Source organism: Homo sapiens, chromosome 6 (genome assembly GCF_000001405.40).
Source record: "Homo sapiens chromosome 6, GRCh38.p14 Primary Assembly".
Lineage (NCBI taxonomy): Eukaryota > Metazoa > Chordata > Mammalia > Primates > Hominidae > Homo > Homo sapiens.
In genome coordinates, this window is record NC_000006.12 from 129164249 (window position 1) to 129185025 (window position 20777).

A 20777-nucleotide genomic window follows, 5' to 3' on the forward strand; every position below is an offset into this window, starting at 1 on the left:
GGGGATGATTCATATCCCTGGTGCGACAGAGCAAGATGGCCCGAGATTTCACCACACTATTCAAAATGACATGCAAATTAAAACTTTTCAATTATTTATTTCTGGAGTTTTCCATTTAATATTTTCGAACTGTGGTTAACCATGATAACTGAAACCTCAGACAGCAAAACTACAGATGAGGTGAGGACTACTGTAATTTATCATCTCTACAGGACATTTCGGAGAATACAATGCAGACACTGGTTTCTGTTATGTTCCTCTGAAGAGTTTGAATTGGTTCTAATTAGTAATAAACTTGCTGAGTGATCACCATGAAGTCATGAAAGTTTACTTTCATACTTTGTTAGGACAGATTAGTGGAAAACTCCAGGTATTCATCAAACATTTCTAATGTAGTTAACTTAAAGTCTGAATTCTCTTTACTTTATGGTTGGTAGCACCTGAAAACTCTTCTCACCTTGTTCAGTTTCCAGCGGTTGCTTTCCACTGAATTTCCTAGAATCTCCTGAGTGAATATACAATAAAGGGATCAGTTAAGGCTGGGAAGGGTATTGTTATGCAAATTTTGTGAATTGCAGTTTAACAGCTAAAGAATTTATCTCTATGATGTTCATAAAATTATTGTCTTAAAATTTGATTTTAGATTTTTCCACTTAATGACATTTAATTTATATGTGTATATAAAATATGCCTTACCTATTCTGTGCACAGTCCCAACTTCATAATGGGGGAATGAATGAATGTATCTTAAACAAATGATGATTTTGAAACTGACCTGTGAACTTAGTTAATTGAGATTCAGTGAGGTATATAAATAAGTCTAATTTTAACACTCTGATTTATAGTAGCAAACAAGTTTTCATTTGTAAATTAAGCCTAGATATATATACATATGAACTATATTGAATAGGTGGGCATTTCTTGGGCAAATAATTTAGTTTTTTTTTTTTTTCCTATTACATCTGGAAAATAAATCTTGTATATACAGTATATGAACACAGTGTAGTTTTGTTTAAGTAAACTAGCTTTGTTGATATACTATGTATACAAGATAAAAAGGAATAAAACATGAAAATATCAATAAGTATTGAATCTAAGTAACAAATATATAGGAATTTATTATTCTATTATCTTTACTTTTGTGTAAGCATGTAAAAGAACTGGATTTTAGAAATTATAAACATGTATTAAAGGTAATTCTTATAGTTTTCTCAATAATTTGCTGCTCTGTATTATTAAAACTACTTTGTCTATAAAAGTTTGCTGAAGTGAAAAATATTGCTGTTTCTATTACACTTCGTTAAATTCATTTTAATATTTTTGTTAGGTATCTCCAAATTATCCAAGGCCATGCCAGCCATGTCATTGCGATCCAATTGGTTCCTTAAATGAAGTCTGTGTCAAGGATGAGAAACATGCTCGACGAGGTGAGAGCTGCAGCAGAATGTCACTGCTCTGATAAAAGGACAACTAAAAGCCAAATATGATTATTTTCAGAAGAATATTTTGCAGTAAATGTTATTCATGTAATAAATTTATTCTTTAATCTATCAGTGTATTAGCGTTCCCTCCAGGAAGTAGTTTTTAAACTCATCTCAATAATTACTTTCATGTTTAATTATAATGTTTTCATAGCAAGAAGAGTTGAATTATGTATTTTGAGATACACACACACACATACACAGAGATAAAGAAAGAGAGAGAGTCAATCACAAATCTGTGGTATATGTAATTTTTTCATATCGTGTTATTTATTAGATTGTTTGTAGCTTCTATGAGTTCTAGCATGAAATGCCAGCGTTCACTGAGGAATGTGTGTGCTGTAGTGGGAAAAGCAAATAGAAGAACTCACACACTGAGATGTAGGCAATAATATAGAAAGCAAGAAGTGTTCATAAAGGACTAAGAAGGTAGTAGTCATGAATTAATGAACAGAAAGAGGCTGACACTAATTTAAGCTAAAGCCTTCCTTTGAGGAATGAAATTCATGAACTCCAAACATTAAGAAATCAAATGCCAACATAACTCCTTGATATAAAAGCGTTTGGGAGCTACTTCCAGGGCAGTTGCTCGCCAAGTTTAAGTAGGAAATTCATAGAATGCACTGGGACGCTTCTTCTCTAGAAAGACTAAAATTAATCAAGGCTACAATGTAGTGTTTTTTTCCCTAATGACTTTAGCGTTAAAAGACCAGCAATGTTTCTTAGGTACAATTCTTGTTACCTGCTTTCTTTATAAAACTGTAGGATTATCAATCTGAGCATTACATGTAGACTAAATTTTGAAATATTAAAAAACGGATACGTTTTGATAGTCGAATGATGAATTACTGAGCTCACTTTTCGTTTTAAGCCTTTTCTCTTTGTGTTTACAAGTAAATCACAATGTTGTTTTCATTAATATCATTTAACTCTTCCCTACCCCTTTTTGAGTAATGAGTATATGATCACAGAATAAAAATGGAAAAGTAGAAAAATAAATATACAATTCAGTGGTAATTCAGGAGAGATACCACTATTAACATTTTCATATATTTCTGTCATAATGCATACAAAAATTTCTGATATTGCTCCTCTTAACTTTATGTGATGAGTTTCCCCAAAAATCTATGAAAACTTTCTCTGAAGTCTGGCTTCAGCACCTAAATAACACATTATTATATGGTCGTGCCATAATTATTTACCCTCTCAACTTTATATGGACATTAAGATTGTTTCAAATTTTTGTTTATTTTAACCAATCCTTTAATAATACTTATTCCATATAATTACTTTTCAATTATTGTAAAAACAATACATAGTAAAATAAATTCTTAATAGTAAAGAAATAAAATAATAAGTGTCCTCTTCAACCTATTTATCCCAGTCTTACTTCCAAATTTAAAAATATTGAGCCTTTTTTCCGATTCAGTTTTTATTTTTTTTAATTATACTTTAAGTTTTAGGGTACATGTGCACAATGTGCAGGTTAGTTACATATGTATACATGTGCCATGCTGGTGCACTGCACCCACTAACTCGTCATCTAGCATTAGGTATATCTCCCAATGCTATCCCTCCCCCCTCCCCCCACCCCACAACAGTCCCCAGAGTGTGATATTCCCCTTCCTGTGTCCATGTGATAGCATTGTTCAATTCCCACCTATGAGTGAGAATATGTGGTGTTTGGTTTTTTGTTCTTGCAATCGTTTACTGAGAATGATGTTTTCCAATTTCATCCATGTCCCTACAAAGGACATGAACTCATCATTTTTTATGGCTGCATAGTATTCCATGGTGTATAAGTGCCACATTTTCTTAATCCAGTCTATCATTGTTGGACATTTGGGTTGGTTCCAAGTCTTTGCTATTGTGGATAATGCCGCAATAAACATACGTGTGCATGTGTCTTCATAGCAGCATGATTTACAGTCCTTTGGGTATATACCCAGTAATGGGATGGCTGGGTCAAAGGGTATTTCCAGTTCTAGATCCCTGAGGAATGGCCACACTGACTTCCACAATGGTTGAACTAGTTTACAGTCCCACCAACAGTGTGTAAAAGTGTTCCTATTTCTCCACATCCTCTCCAGCACCTGTTGTTTCCTGACTTTTTAATGATTGCCATTCTAACTGGTGTGAGATGGTATCTCATTGTGGTTTTGATTTGCATTTCTCTGATGGCCAGTGATGATGAGCATTTTTTCATGTGTTTTTTGGCTGCATAAATGTCTTCTTTTGAGAAGTGTCTGTTCATGTCCTTCGCCCACTTGTTGATGGGGTTGTTTGTTTTTTTCTTGTAAATTTGTTTGAGTTCATTGTAGATTCTGGATATTAGCCCTTTGTCAGATGAGTAGGTTGCAAAAATTTTCTCCCATTTTGTAGGTTGCCTGTTCACTCTGATGGTAGTTTCTTTTGCTGTGCAGAAGCTCTTTAGTTTAATTAGATCCCATTTGTCAATTTTGTCTTTTGTTGCCATTGCTTTTGGTGTTTTAGACATGAAGTCCTTGCCCATGCCTATGTCCTGAATGGTACTGCCTAGGTTTTCTTCTAGGGTTTTTATGGTTTTAGGTCTAACGTTTAAGTCTTTAATCCATCTTGAATTGATTTTTGTATAAGGTGTAAGGAAGGGATCCAGTTTCAGCTTTCTACATATGGCTAGCCAGTTCTCCCAGCACCATTTATTAAACAGGGAATCCTTTCCCCATTGCTTGTTTTTCTCAGGTTTGTCAAAGATCAGGTAGTTGTACATATGCGGCGTTATTTCTGAGGGCTCTGTTCTGTTCCATTGATCTATATCTCTGTTTTGGTACCAGTACCATGCTGTTTTGGTTACTGTAGACTTGTAGTATAGTTTGAAGTCAGGTAGTGTGATGCCTCCAGCTTTGTTCTTTTGGCTTAGGATTGACTTGGCGATGCGGGCTCTTTTTTGGTTCCATATGAACTTTAAAGTAGTTTTTTCCAATTCTGTGAAGAAAGGCATTGGTAGCTTGATGGGGATGGCATTGAATCTGTAAATTACCTTGGGCAGTATGGCCATTTTCACGATATTGATTCTTCCTACCCATGAGCATGGAATGTTCTTCCATTTGTTTGTATCCTCTTTTATTTCCTTGAGCAGTGGTTTGTAGTTCTCCTTGAAGAGGTCCTTCACATCCCTTGTAAGTTGGATTCCTAGGTATTTTATTCTCTTTGAAGCAATTGTGAATGGGAGTTCACTCATGATTTGGCTCTCTGTTTGTTGTTGTTGTATAAGAATGCTTGTGACTTTTGTACATTGATTTTGTATCCTGAGACTTTGCTGAAGTTGCTTATCAGCTTAAGGAGATTTTGGACTGAGACAATGGGGTTTTCTAGATATACAATCATGTCGTCTGCAAACGGGGACAATTTGACTTCCTCTTTTCCTAATTGAATACCCTTTATTTCCTTCTCCTGCCTAATTGCCCTGGCCAGAACTTCCAACACTATGTTGAATAGGAGCGGTGAGAGAGGGCATCCCTGTCTTGTGCCAGTTTTCAAAGGGAATGCTTCCAGTTTTTGCCCATTCTGTATGATACTGGCTGTGGGTTTGTCATAGATAGCTCTTAATATTTTGAATTACGTCCCATCAATACCTAATTTATTGAGAGTTTTTAGCATGAAGGGTTGTTGAATTTTGTCAAAGGCTTTTTCTGCATCTATTGAGATAATCATGTGGTTTTTGTCTTTGGCTCTGTTTATATGCTGGATTACATTTATTGATTTGTGTATATTGAACCAGCCTTGCATCCCAGGGATGAAGCCTACTTGATCATGGTGGATAAGCTTTTTGATGTGCTGCTGGATTCGTTTTGCCAGTATTTTACTGAGGATTTTTGCATCAATGTTCATCAAGGATATTGGTCTAAAATTCTCTTTTTTGGTTGTGTCTCTGCCTGGCTTTGGTATCAGAATGATGCTGGCCTCATAAAATGAGTTAGGGAGGATTCCCTCTTTTTCTATTGATTGGAATAGTTTCAGAAGGAATGGTACCAGTTCCTCCTTGTACCTCTGGTAGAATTCGGCTGTGAATCCATCTGGTCCTGGACTCTTTTTGGTTGGTAAGCTATTGATTATTGCCACAATTTCAGATCCTGTTATTGGTCTATTCAGAGATTCAACTTCTTCCTGGTTTAGTCTTGGGAGAGTGTATGTGTCGAGGAATTTATCCATTTCTTCTAGATTTTCTAGTTTATTTGCATAGAGGTGTTTGTAGTATTCTCTGATTTTAGTTTGTATTTCTGTGGGATCCGTGGTGATATCCCCTTTATCATTTTTTATTGCATCTATTAGATTCTTCTCTCTTTTTTTCTTTATTAGTCTTGCTAGCGGTCTATCAATTTTGTTGACCCTTTCAAAAAACCAGCTCCTGGATTCATTAATTTTTTGAAGGGTTTTTTGTGTCTCTATTTCCTTCAGTTCTGCTCTGATTTTAGTTATTTCTTGCCTTCTGCTAGCTTTTGAATGTGTTTGCTCCTGCTTTTCTAGTTCTTTTAATTGTGATGTTAGGGTGTCAATTTTGGATCTTTCCTGCTTTCTCTTGTGGGCATTTAGTGCTATAAATTTCCCTCTACACACTGCTTTGAATGCGTCCCAGAGATTCTGGTATGTTGTGTCTTTGTTCTCATGGGTTTCAAAGAACATCTTTATTTCTGCCTTCATTTCGTTATGTACCCAGTAGTCATTCAGGAGCAGGTTGTTCAGTTTCCATGTAGTTGAGCAGTTTTGAGTGAGATTCTTAATCCTGAGTTCTAGTTTGATTGCACTGTGGTCTGAGAGATAGTTTGTTATAATTTCTGTTCTTTTACATTTGCTGAGGAGAGCTTTACTTCCAAGTATGTGGTCAATTTTGGAATAGGTGTGGTGTGGTGCTGAAAAAAATGTATATTCTGTTGATTTGGGGTGGAGAGTTCTGTAGATGTTTATTAGGTCCGCTTGGTGCAGAGCTGTGTTCAATTCCTGGGTATCCTTGTTGACTTCTTGTTGACTTTCTGTCTCGTTGATCTGTCTAATGTTGACAGTGGGGTGTTAAAGTCTCCCATTATTAATGTGTGGGAGTCTAAGTCTCTTTGTAGGTCACTCAGGACTTGCTTTATGAATCTGGGTGCTCCTGTATTGGGTGCATATATATTTAGGATAGTTAGCTCTTCTTGTTGAATTGATCCCTTTACCATTATGTAATGGCCTTCTTTGTCTCTTTTGATGTTTGTTGGTTTAAAGTCTGTTTTATCAGAGACTAGGATTGCAACCCCTGCCTTTTTTTGTTTTCCATTTGCTTGGTAGATCTTCCTCCATCCTTTTATTTTGAGCCTATGTGTGTCTCTGCACATGAGATGGGTTTCCTGAATACGGAACACTGATGGGTCTTGACTCTTTATCCAATTTGCCAGTCTGTGTCTTTTAATTGGAGCATTTAGTCCATTTACATTTAAAGTTAATATTGTTATGTGTGAATTTGATCCTGTCATGATGATGTTAGCTGGTTATTTTGCTCGTTAGTTGATGCAGTTTCTTCCTAGCATCGATGGTCTTTACAATTTGGCATGCTTTTGCAGTGGCTGGTACTGGTTGTTCCTTTCCATGTTTAGTGCTTCCTTCAGGAGCTCTTTTAGGGCAGGACTGGTGGTGACAAAATCTCTCAGCATTTGCTTGTCTGTAAAGTATTTTATTTCTCCTTCGCTTATGAAGCTTAGTTTGGCTGGATATGAAATTCTGGGTTGAAAATTCTTTTCTTTAAGAATGTTGAATATTGGCCCCCACTCTCTTCCGGCTTGTAGAGTTTCTGCCGAGCGATCTGCTGTTAGTCTGATGGGCTTCCCTTTGAGGGTAACCCGACCTTTCTCTCTGGCTGCCCTTAACATTTTTTCCTTCATTTCAGCTTTGGTGAATCTGACAATTATGTGTCTTGGAGTTGCTCTTCTCGAGGAGTATCTTTGTGGCGTTCTCTGTATTTCCTGAATCTGAACGTTGGCCTGCCTTGCTAGATTGGGGAAGTTCTCCTGGATAATATCCTGCAGAGTGTTTTCCAACTTGGTTCCATTCTCCCCATCACTTTCAGGTACACCAATCAGACGTAGATTTGGTCTTTTCACATAGTCCCATATTTCTTGGAGGCTTTGCTCATTTCTTTTTATTCTTTTTTCTCTAAACTTCCCTTCTCACTTCATTTCATTCATTTCATCTTCCATTGCTGATACCCTTTCTTCCAGTTGATCGCATCGGCTCCTGAGGCTTCTGCATTCTTCACGTAGTTCTCGAGCCTTGGTTTTCAGCTCCATCAGCTCCTTTAAGCACTTCTCTGTATTGGTTATTCTAGTTATACATTCTTCTACATTTTTTTCAAAGTTTTCAACTTCTTTGCCTTTGGTTTGAATGTCCTCCCGTAGCTCAGAGTAATTTGATCGTCTGAAGCCTTCTTCTCTCAGCTCGTCAAAGTCGTTCTCCATCCAGCTTTGTTCCGTTGCTGGTGAGGAACTGCGTTCCTTTGGAGGAGGAGAGGCACTCTGCTTTTTAGAGTTTCCAGTTTTTCTGTTCTGTTTTTTCCCCATCTTTGTGGTTTTATCTACTTTTGGTCTTTGATGATGGTGATGTACAGATGGGTTTTTCGTGTGGATGTCCTTTCTGTTTGTTAGTTTTCCTTCTAACAGACAGGAACCTCAGCTGCAGGTCTGTTGCAATACCCTGCCGTGTGAGGTGTCAGTGTGCCCCTGCTGGGGGGTGCCTCCCAGTTACGCTGCTCAGGGGTCAGGGGTCAGGGACCCACTTGAGGAGGCAGTCTGCCCGTTCTTAGATCTCCAGCTGCGTGCTGGGAGAACCACTGCTCTCTTCAAAGCTGTCAGAGGGACATTTAAGTCTGCAGAGGTTACTGCTGTCTTTTTGTTTGTCTGTGCCCTGCCCCCAGAGGTGGAGCCTACAGAGGCAGGCAGGCCTCCTTGAGCTGTGGTGGGCTCCACCCAGTTGGAGCTTCCCAGCTGCTTTGTTTACCTAATCAAGCCTGGGCAATGGCGGCGCCCCTCCCCCAGCCTCGCTGCTGCCTTGCAGTTTGATCTCAGACTGCTGTGCTAGCAATCAGCGAGACTCCATGGGCGTAGGACCCTCCAAGCCAGGTGCAGGATATAATCTCATGGTTCACCGTTTTTTAAGCCCGTCGGAAAAGCGCAGTATTCCGGTGGGAGTGACCCGATTTTCCAGGTGCCGTCCGTCACCCCTTTCTGTGACTCGGAAAGGGAACTCCCTGACCCCTTGCGCTTCCCAAGTGAGGCAATGCCTCGCCCTGCTTCGGCTCGCGCAGGGTGCGCGCACCCACTGACCTGCGCCCACTGTCTGGCATTCCCTAGTGAGATGAACCCGGTACCTCAGATGGAAATGCAGAAATCACCGTCTTCTGCGTCGCTCACGCTGGGAGCTGTAGACCGGAGCTGTTCCTATTGGGCCATGTTGGCTCCTCTCCCCGATTCAGTTTTTTAGTGAGTTACCTTTAGTATCTAAATAATATTCTTATCAGTACTTTTATCACCATTACATATTGCCTATTGACTCTCCGTCTTGAAAGGTGAAGAAATGTATCATTCACAACACCTCCCTCCTTCATTCCACCATCCATACATTTTTATTATGTGTTTCTTCTACGATATCTTTATCATGTTCAAGAGAGCTTACATGTCTATTTCATCAATGACTACATTTAGACTTTCTCTTGAGGTCCTACTATATAAGATGTGATAAAGACTATCATCCCTACATTCTTCACCACTTGTCAGTGTCTGTCAATTACATATCTTTGAAATCTTTTCAAAGATTTTCACAGTTACATTCAGCTCTGGACCAATAATTAATGCTTATAATTCAAAAATAGAAATATAATAATCAAGATTGTAATACTGTAATTAGATACATATTATTTGATACAGGCTCGAATTGCAAAATTGGACACATATTTGTAGGTCATTTTTATCTTCATGCTTGCTCTGATAACTTATTTAGGAAAGAGTGTAAGATGTGGTCTCATGGTTTGCACTTCTTCATCAGATTACATAACCAGATAGTAGAAAAGGATATTTTAGTGTATTACTGGCATTCATTTGATTACGAGGGAAATACGATGTATTTCTTCTCTGATTTTTCTTTTAGTTTTCTTCATTTTCTTTTAGTAGAAGGAAGTTTTCTCCCTTGTAGATTTGTAAGAGCACTTTAAATATTAAAAACAGTGATAGTATATCATTTTTTAATAATCAGTTTTCAGATTTGCTTTGTGTCTCACTACTGTTGATAATTTCTAGTGCACAAACTTCAAAAATTTTATGTAATCAGCTGTCAAAGTTCAGGTAAAATTCTTTACTTATAATAATGATACCAACCCATGATTATTATATATTTTGATTTTTTTGTGTATTTCTTACATGCTTTATAATCCTAGAACTCTCATCTATCCCAAGATTAGAAAAATGTATTTGTTTTCTTCATTTGTATGATTTCATTTTATAATACTTAATTTTTTATTCCATCTAGAATTTATTTTGTTATATTTCATAAGGAAATTTTCAAACTACATTTTGTTTTCCAATACTCTTTTTTACTCATCTACATTTAATATTACTTTCAGCTCTTTAGACATATTAAATATATTTATTTTATTTTCGGAATCTGTTAGAAGCACTCTGTTATTGAGTCTGAGTCTGCATTTTTATTTCTCTTCTAACTCTTATTCATATGGACTTCATTTTCTTATGTTTCGTAAGTGTGTGTGTGTGTGTGTGTGTATGTGTGTGTTTTGTGGATGTATGCGTGCATATGTATTTCTTAGTTTATTCTTTCAGAAGCCTTGAATTTACATGAAGTTATGTGATAATGACCTACCTTATATAGGACCTAGAATTTTTTGTTGTTCTTCTGTAAAACCATGCTCCCTGAACTGTAGTCTAGTCATCAGAATTTGCCAGTCAACTCCAGGAAAGACATTGTTTTAAAGAATGACGTAAGCTTTCTAGAAGTCAATTTTGTAGTTTCTCATCTCCAAGGGGTTTCTTTATTTCTTGCCAGCGCAACGATTCTGTTATCTGCCATCTGTCTTTCGATCTATCTACCTACCTACCTACCTACCTACCTATCTATTTTTCTACGTTTAATTTTATTCTGTATCTTCAACTGTTCTGAACAGGAGGGGTTTTTTGGACATCTAGTCTACAATACTTCCAGAAATAAAAGTTAAGATAGACATTGTTTAATACATGAAGTACTTCTACATTTAGCCTCAATTTCTGGAAATTTTAACATCAGAAATAATGTTAAACTATTTAATGCCTTTGCAAACTTTATTAAAATTATCAGATTTATTTCCCATTTGGTCTATTGGGTAATCTATTAGAAACGAACTTACTAATATCAAACAATATTTATTTTACCAGAGTATGTTCTACTTGGACATCATAGAGGATCCTTTTAATGTACTTTAGGATTCAGTTTGGTGTTTTGCTCATCTGGATTCATAAGTTAATTGCCTGTGACTCAGACACCCACCAGTTGTGCTCCTTTGGCAAATCACTTAATTTCTCCATGCCTTAGTTACCTCATCTGTGAAACAGGAAAAATAATAGTGTCTATCTCATATAGATGTTTTGAGTACTAACTGAATTAACCCCTGTGTTTTGTGTAATGCTAAGTATAATGACTACCATAAGATAAGTGCTATTTGAGTCTTAGAAGTTTTGTTTATTTGGGGTTATCATTTGCATTTGGGTATCAAGTTAGAATTTGCTTCATAAATTGAATTACATAGCTCTCCATTTTTATATGACCATAAGAGTTTCAAGTTTTGAAAACAGTCTGTAAAAATTAACTAGCATTACAGAAAACCAAACACCGCATGTTCTTACTCGTAAGTGGGAGTTGAACAATGAGAACACATGAACACAGACAGGGGAACATCACATGCCAGGGCCTGTCAGTGGGTGGGGGTCTAGGGGAGGAACAGCATTAGGAGAAATACCTAATGTAGATGACAGGTCGATGGCTGCAGCAAACCACCATGGCACGTGCATACCTATGTGACAAACCTGGATGTTCTGCACATGTATTCCAGAACTTAAAGTATAATAATAAAAAAAATTAACTATCATTAAAACATGTTTGTGGTAGTTCTTTGATAATTTGTCCTCTTTTGATACCCTTGATTAGCTTTGTTTACCGTTTCCTTTTGCTTGCTTTTCTTTTTTTCAAATCTCTTTACTTCCTGTGGTGTTTATATTTTCTCTTTTTTATACTTAAATGAATTAAATTTTAATTTATCTATTTTTAAAATAATGGACTATTTAAGCCTATAAGTTTACTTTTGGGTACAGTTTTTCCATACTCAACAAAAATTAAGTTCCTTTTTTACTGCTATTATATTCTACCTAGATAGCTATTTATTTTTAATTGAAGTCTTGATTTTCTCTTTAACCCAAGAGTTATTAAAGAGAAATATTTAGGCATTAATTTTTAGAACAGTTGAATTTTGCATAAAATTCTCTCATCATGTTTGATATTCAGAACTAATTTAATCTTAATTTTTGTGGCATTTGATACACATCTAAAAGTAGTAATTTATGTTAAGAAAATAAGCCTTAGATAATTTCTGCTTTGATAATTGAGTATTTTTTATAGTCAATCACAAACTATGGTAAATATTTAGTTATATACCACATAATATGTAATTTGATATTATTAGATTATTCAAATTTTCTGTTTTTTCTTACTTCATCTGTAAATACTTAAGATGAGTAAGTTAGCATCATTTTCAGCCATTGACTTTTAAAGTTTTTATTTCCAATATATTTTGTTGTCCACATATTTTTGTACTGATAATTAGTGCTTATTTGAAGCATAAACATAATAATTTAAATCATGTTTTTATTATATTTTTATCAATGTAAAATGAGAGCTTGCCTTACTGAACCTAGTTTATTTGAGTTCTACTTTGGCCCTATTTAATATTTCACAACTTTTTTTTCTTTTCCATACGCTTTCTTGACACACATTCATTTTCTTTTACTTGTAATATTTTATTTGCAATATTCCTGTTCATTTTGTTTATCTCTTGTGCACATTACATGTTTATGTTTTTAATAAGAACAGTAAGACTGCTTAACTCATTAGTATGTATTTAGTATGCATTTCTGACACTAATTCTGTCATTCTGCTTTTTGCTTTCTCTCCCTAATGTTTCCTTGCCTTTTTTTCCCTCCTCCTTTCTTCTTTCTGATGGACTATATATATTACTGATTTGCTTTTATCTTTCTCCAGATTTTGAAGGTCTGTTAGTTGTATTCATTCATCCTGTATTATTTCTATTTTTTAATCAAAGACATGAATAAACATTGTGTTTTGTATTTCTGTATGTTAAAAAAGTAAATTTAAACTTTTCATTCCCCTCATCTATTGCTTCTTATCCCCAAAATATCAATTCCAATGAACACCTTTATTTTCTTTAGTAATACTGCCAGTGGCATGTTCTTAGAGTATCATTGTTAAACTGTTATTTTAAGTAATATGTCTTTATTCCCAAGGCTACTTTGCACCTGTAATAGTCTGGTGGAGCAGGCTTGTTCCGTGAGCCACTAGTTTTGCATTTGTTACTGCTTATTCTTCTCAATGTAGCATCATCAGCATTAGCGTTTGTGGAAATTTCTCCTTGGTCATTGTTTTCTATAGCCATAGTTTGGTAGATGCTTTGAGATTTCATCTTTCTTGTTTACATTTTTAATATTTCTATTGACACTTAGAAGATGCTATGTTCACGTAATCATAGAAAGCTTTTAATTAAACCCTCTACTCTTTGGTTTTAACTTTTCTTTATTGATATATATAAAAAATCTATTTTTGTGTCAAAATAGCATTTTAAAGGTTACTGTCATTAAAACTTTAACAACTAAATTATGTACTTGTTTTAGAAATGTTGATATGTGGCTCATCTTTCTTTAGGTTTGGCACCTGGATCCTGTCATTGCAAAACTGGTTTTGGAGGTGTGAGCTGTGATCGGTGTGCCAGGGGCTACACTGGCTACCCGGACTGCAAAGCCTGTAACTGCAGTGGGTTAGGGAGCAAAAATGAGGATCCTTGTTTTGGCCCCTGTATCTGCAAGGTACATTGTTTATTCCAGTAATGTCCCACTGTCAAGACAGAAGGTTATTTTTCTTGGCTTCTCTGTTGATTTCCTTGGCATTAAGCAATTTTAATGACTTCTGGAAGTATCCATAATCTATTCTACGTGTGGTGACCCACCAGGTTCACTGTAGCAGGATGTTTATAAGGCACTTATCTAAAAGCCTACAAATGCACGGAGGATAAACCACGTTTAAAGGCTTGTTATTTTATAACAAAAACACTTTCACCCCATTGCCCAACTAGTGTGTTAATTTAAAAATATACGGCACTAGAAATAGCAACCCTTTAAAACTAAAGTGCATTCAAATCTACCTTTGCATCTAATTCAGTAATGAATTCTGTCAAGGGTTTTATTCTGAATTTTTAAATAATCTTCTAAAGTTTGAACCCAGATAAGCCTTAAAATACTCATTATATTCAAATTTTTCTGTTCAATTATAAAAAAGTACAAAGCCCTAATGGAATTAATTAAAGGCTCAATATTTTCTTCCAAGATTACTTTTAGAAATGCAACTTTATTTGTTGTACATGCTCACCTAATAACAAATCATGTTAACACCAAGGGATGCATTACCTCTGCAGCTTATAAACATTATGAAGCATACAGGCATGCACAAGTGAAAAATGAAAAGACTGATTTACTTTACCTATAGTAATGAGTTCTATAACATTCTGACCAGACGGTGTATAACTACATTAGCTGAGAGAATGAACCATTCTTTGAAAAAGTTAGCATACCATACTTATGTAAAAATGAAAGTTACTACTTTTTTCTTTATTTTCAATTAAAGAGGGACCCTTATTAAAAATATTTTTATTAACCTGTTAGTCTTATCTTGGCAGCTATAAAATATTATATAGTTATATTTGGTACATGTGAGCATATGTGTACATATACAACCATTAAGCCATAATATAAGTAGTAAATATTAGTTTTAATGAAGTGTTTATGAATTGGGACAAGAATGTCTGGAAATATCAAGCTAAATATAATAATAATAGTTACATAATAGGTATATGTTACATCAGGGGCAATTTAGGTTCCTATTTTGAACTACTGAAATAATAAAACTCCTGTGGACACAGTAAGCAGAAAAGTCCACAAGCCCATAGTAAAAAGTTGCCATGTCCTGGAATGTAGTAAATTTTCTAATCTATTACATTTCATTCCAATATTATCTGAAATGAAAAATTGCTTGAGTTGACCAAGATTGTGTAGCAGTGTGTGAGTGATTGCTTGCTTAAGGACACCTCCCCTCTCCATCTTGTATGTCTCTGTGGGCAATCCTGCAGGCTCTTAGTGCATCTTCTCTAGTATTTATCAAAACATGTCTTGTGTGTGCTTTATTCTCTTTTCAAAACTCCACAGAAATCTCTAACCTTTACCACTTGCTCAAATAAAGGACAGTCAAAACTAAGCTTAAAATGGAAAAGAAACCTCCTGAGTTTCTAGAATATATAAAATCAAACAGGGAAGAAAAACAAGTGCTTTTCTACACCTACCACTCATACAGTGGTGATGTCTGGTATTTGCAAGGAAAGGGAGTAATAAGCGAGTTAATTTTCTTTGGTAAATATAGCGAGAAAGGCTGGAGCAAGAGAGCTGTAGTGATTAGCAGGGCTCCAAGGGAAAGCCCCTTGAGCTACTTACTGCCTGCTCTCAGCCGAACTCAATATTGTACTGAGAATTATTATAATCCTAATAAGAAAGATGCCTCCTGTGTAGACACTTGAAGCTCTACACAGACAATTAAAATGCAACAATAAACAGCAATTAAGAAATCATAAAAGAGAATGAAAATTAAGTAAATAGCATTATTAAAATAAATGCCTTTCTACCATGTGATATCTTAAATAGAAAACTGTAAGTTCTTATAAACTAAATTGTTTCAGGATTAAAAACTTGCAGAAAGCAAGTTTCATAAAACATCTACATAATTATAAAAATCACAAATTATATGCATATAACATGAATTACATCACAGAATTATATATCACAATAATATCACAATATGCCACGATGAGTTATATCAAAATGTGCATGCAATGTACTACAATTAAGTGCCTACAGTCTCTTGTTTAAAAAATAATTAATAACCTAGCATTTCAACAAAATATGCATACAATTTAAATACTGAAAAGACACTTAGTGTAGTGTATTTAAATACTGAAAAGACACTTAGTGTAGTGTATTTAAATACTGAAAAGACACTTAATGTAACAGTTCATACTGTTTCACAAAAACATGATTTGACATAGATATGTCAACTGATTGTAAAAACAGCATGGATCAAAATGCTGCTTAAGAAGCAAAATTTTATTGAAAGACTAAAATATTGGAGATATAAATTCAAATTAAATGACAGGTTTTTAGCAGAAGGGGAAGAATATATACATAAGTGTCCATATATTTCTATCCAAGTTAGTAACTTTAAATAAGTATTTATCTGTAAATAGAAATAATATAAATCACATATGAAATAATGTGTATATAAGTATTCATCTCCAAAATGCTTATTAACCTTAAACATTTGTACCTTTATTCTCTTATACTATAACATATGAGTTTTTAAATAGTTTTTTTTTATCAGAAAGAAATATCTTACTGAAGTGTGAAGACATTTTTAAAAAGAGCTTCATTAGGAAGTCTTGGGCCTAATTGTTTTTTGTTTTATAAATTTTAAATGACTGCTCTGTGATGAGCCCATTTCAGTTGAGGCTGTATTATTTTTCCTGTGGGTAAAATGACATACTGAGCTGATATGGACATCACTTCTCCCACTTTTGCTATTTTAAAAATACAGATATGCTGCATAAACATAGCAAATAGATTTATAAACATTTAGATTCAAGAAAGAAAGGGAAATTCCTAGATGTCAGACCAAAGAGGGAAATCTAAGTTAAGCATAAGCAAAAGCTCAAGCTAAACTGAGCAACTGGGGTCATGGGGTGGAGGGTGGGAGACAAGTCTTAGTTCTAAGATCAGGGCTAAAGTTTGGAGTTTTAATGCCCTCACTAGGACTTGACACTAGGATTTGGACCCACAGACGGAAATTGCAGCTGAACTCCCTGAAGCAGGGACACTAGAAATGCTTTCAGACAGTGAAATGGGGGCTAGAAAATTCTTCCTGCAAGCCTACAGAGGCAGCTAGAAAATTTTTCTCTTAGGGGCTCTGGGTGGGTAAAAGTTACTACCTTGTGTAGGACCGAATCCCCAAACCTGTGTGCCACGTGGGAATGGGATACATTTTTATTCTCCCCTTATGTGCTGGCATTCTTCAACAAGTCAAGGAAATGATATTCCCATAGGAAAAATAATACAGCCTCAACTGAAAATGATCTCATCACAAAGCAAGTAAAGTACACAAAAGGAAAATAACTACAAAAGGAAACCAGTAGCCACAAAAATGAGGATATTTGTACACAAAGAACTAGAAAGGGTAGTCTGAAATAAATTTGTATTCATAAAAATCTGTGATCATATTCTTATCACATAAATCATAAAAATATGTTTAAAATGTACAATTATAAAAGCATGATTAGAAGATTGAAGAATAAACAAAGAAGGAATAGAAAAAAGTAATATAAAATAGACGCTATATTAAAATTCAAAAGTAACCAGGTTTGGAAAAGAAACATGTATAATTTACTTCCAGAAATGAAAAAAATATGCAGTCATTGAAATTAAAAATTCAATGATTGGGTTAAACAAGAGATGAGAAACTGCAGGATAGAAAATCAGAAATATAGGCCTGAAAAAATTACCTATAAATTGACATAGGGAAGTAAATAAATATGATGCTAACTGACTCACAGAATTGTAAAATTGAACAGAAGTTTAGCAGAAGTTGCCAAAGAAGAGATTAGAAGAAGTTGAGGGAAACAATATTCAAAAAAATAATGAAGGAGAGAAGAATGATCATGAGTTAAAAACTATTATAAATCCTCAGTTTGAGGATGATAAAAAATAAGTCTACCCCTAGTAGAAAACCTGTCAACCAGCAAGACAAAGAGAAAAATATTAAAACTGGGGGCAAATATCTTTATTGTGAGTGTTTACCACTCACAGTCCAACTTCATGGAAAGAATATTAAATAATATATGTCCTTTAGTAAGAATATTGAACCCATAAGACAGTTTCACTAGATTATAGTCCAGAAGAATCAATCTATAAAAAGCAGTAGTATTTCTATATGTCAGTGACAAGCAAATAAAAAATGTAATAAAAATACTTAGAATAGCAAGAAAAACTTCATGATACCTAAAAATAAGTGTTTGTAAAATTGAGATAATTTTTAAAGGTTATTGAAGAACATAAAATTCTAAATGAGGAGACAGCTGAGGATCACCAAGTACCAGTGAAAATCTGTGAAATTTGAAATGTTTACCATTTCTATTAATAGAGTTAATTAGTACCACAATTTAGGAGGGCAATATGGTATTATCTAGTATCTTTGAAGGTGATAAAACCCTGTCAACCAGCAATTCCACATCCAAACATTTACCCCAAAAAACTCTTACAATGTATAGAGAAAAACCATCTAAAATGTGCTCAACGTAAATGTACTTACTATGATGAAAATGAGAAAAATAAATAGCAAAAATAAATTGTAGTGTTTCCTTTAATCTGATAAAAGAAACAGTTAAAGTGGTTGAAATAGATCTTCATGTATAAACCATGATAAATTTCAGAAACTTCAGGTGGAAAAAACAATGTCATTATGGTATTATTTATATCAAGTTGTAAAACATAAAACAATGCTACATTGTTTGTGAATACATATATTATAATTAAAAAATTTAAATACACTTGTAGGGTAAGTACTAATTTCAGAATAGTAGTTACCTCTAGAGAAACAGGAAAGGGAATAAAACAGAAGTGAAATGAGATTCATTTGTATCTAAGTATCATTGCTTTAAAAATATATCTGAGGCAAATATAAAATATAAATATTTTGTTACCTCTAGGTTGCATGGGTAATGCATGTTATATGTGCTTTTTGAATGTCTTAATATAATTTCTAATTTAAAATTTCTTTAATTGAATGTAAAAAAGAATTCCAGATTTAAAAAGAGGAGAATGAAATTTTTAATACAATGTCAACTACATTATTACATTTTACACATAAGATTTTCTCTTCAACAATGATGTTAATGAATATTATCATCATTATATTTCAAAATGTGAAAGCAGTGCTAGCTCAAGACACTCAAATGTTTATAATATTTTTGCATTGTTAAAAATGTTGAAATTTCTCTCACGAATTACAAGAGGCAAGTCAATCTCAGATATATGACAAGTCATTGACTATAAGTGCTGTCTGACTCTCAGTATTTGTTTATTTCAAGTACCATATGCTAGAAATTGGCTCTTTTGCAGTTTGGTGTCATATTATTTATGCAAAATCAGTTGGTATGTAGAATCTCACACATAATATAAATTGACATTGATCTAGTTAGGAACATGTGCTTTTATTTTTATCAAAGTCTTATAATAGAAAGATAAATAGTGAAGTAGAAGACTAGAAATCAAAGTCTGTATTTTCATCTTGTTTTGCTTTGTTTTTATTGCATTTTCCATTAAGTCCTTACAGGCCCACGAGACTATGTGATCTGGCCTTGGCTTACCTCTCCAGAATGTTCTTGAGTTTCAGTCACTGTTTTTCAGCTTTGCTTAAATTTCTTGAGTCTCTTAGTTGTTTGTAGCATCTGGAATTTTATAAGTTCTATTCAGATTTCTTGGGATACCTCATTTCTAGCCCTATTCCTTTGCTTAGCCAGGCATTTTTAATGGCTCGGCTTAACTTCAACTTTCTCAGGAAAGCTGCCCCTGCATCCTCAAGTCATATCATTCTCATGGCATAATCACTTTTCAAACCTTTTTCTTTTCTTTTATGATCTCATAATGAGTAATTCTGTTTTATGTCTATCTTACCTCTGGTGATGATATGGACCCTATATATTTTCTTTACCATTGCACAATAAGAAGATAACACAATGACTCATACAAAAGAAAGAAGGAAGGAAGAGAACTAAAATCTCGTGAAGCTTTGACAGTCATTTAGCCTTTCCGATTCTGTTTTATAATCTATGAAATGGTGTTATTGAATCTTTTCTGCCTCTCAGTAGGTATAATTATCACACTGAAGCCCTGTACAAGTATAAAGTATAACCATAAATACCTACTGGATTACTTTTTGTTGTTGTTTATATTGCTTTTCCCAAGTAGAGATAAGTTTCTGTTCTTTTTCCCTGAAAGGATTTTTATGGTGTGTTAACATTTTTATTGGTTTTGGATTTCCCTCTTCTTTTTCATTTGTGTACAGGAATGGTCACTTCATTAACTTGTAGACTTGATTCCTGGGCATTTTTACAAATGGACTTCAATGTGTACATTTAATCCTGAATCTAAATTACAGATGTAGAATTTTTGGCATAAAAGGTTCATGCATGAATGAATTTATCTCTTGCAACCCCTACAGTTCAAATAATATTATGTTAGTCAATTTTTTACATGGACAGACTCTCTCCTTGACCAAATTTTGGAAAGTCTTCTCTGAGTCCTCTTTTTGATGAGGCCTCATCGTTGACCCTTGTCCTCAAACCTAGCTTGGTTAAAGCAAGAATTCTGCTAAGTCAGTGTGTTAAGAACACCTTACCCTTGATATCTGATCCCTCTGGCCTGTCTTCAACAAGAATCCTGTTAATTTGGTTTAGCAAGAATCCCCCCTACCTACCCCTGATGTCTCCTCTTAATGATTGTTCGCCCCTGATCCTTGCTCGTGGCTATAAATCTCTACCCTTTTCCTTGGCACTGAATCCCTACTTGTTCATGTTGTATTGGGAATGGAGGCTAGTTCTTTACTAAGGTTGCTTTTTCTCTATTGCCATAGTTTCTCACTGAAGCCTATTTTCATCGTTTTAACTACTGTCCAGCTCTGGTTCTCTTTCACAATATTAAAAGCTGAACTTGTGAAAATTGAGAACTAATGTTTATGTATTTCCTTCTCCCTCCCTAACCCATCAACTATTATCTAGCCTTGGAAAAGTGTGTTTTAGGAGTAAGTCCTCAACAAATACTGCTAATTAACTAATTATCCTTCTTTTGTTAACTTATTTTAATACTAGGATGCATT

General features: G+C 34.6%; 1 protein-coding gene across 2 annotated transcripts in view, besides 2 other annotated features; it reads left to right on the top strand.

Moving 5' to 3' along the window:
• LAMA2 (laminin subunit alpha 2) overlaps positions 1-20777 on the top strand; it is a 633429-nt gene that overhangs the window by 281111 nt on the left and 331541 nt on the right. For both annotated transcript variants that reach the window (NM_000426.4, NM_001079823.2), the window contains exons 9-10: positions 1328-1427; positions 13458-13618. In NM_000426.4, coding sequence (NP_000417.3) covers positions 1328-1427; positions 13458-13618 — 261 coding nt within the window. The remainder of the gene's footprint in view (positions 1-1327; positions 1428-13457; positions 13619-20777) is intronic.
• Positions 7819-8533: an enhancer, noted in NCBI's record as "NANOG-H3K27ac-H3K4me1 hESC enhancer chr6:129493212-129493926 (GRCh37/hg19 assembly coordinates)". NCBI's record gives its function as "activates a minimal SCP1, AML or CMV promoter by ChIP-STARR-seq in primed H9 embryonic stem cells {active_cell/tissue: H9 hESC(primed)}" and the evidence as "EXISTENCE:reporter gene assay evidence [ECO:0000049][PMID:30033119]".
• Positions 8534-9247: an enhancer, noted in NCBI's record as "NANOG-H3K27ac-H3K4me1 hESC enhancer chr6:129493927-129494640 (GRCh37/hg19 assembly coordinates)". NCBI's record gives its function as "activates a minimal SCP1, AML or CMV promoter by ChIP-STARR-seq in primed H9 embryonic stem cells {active_cell/tissue: H9 hESC(primed)}" and the evidence as "EXISTENCE:reporter gene assay evidence [ECO:0000049][PMID:30033119]".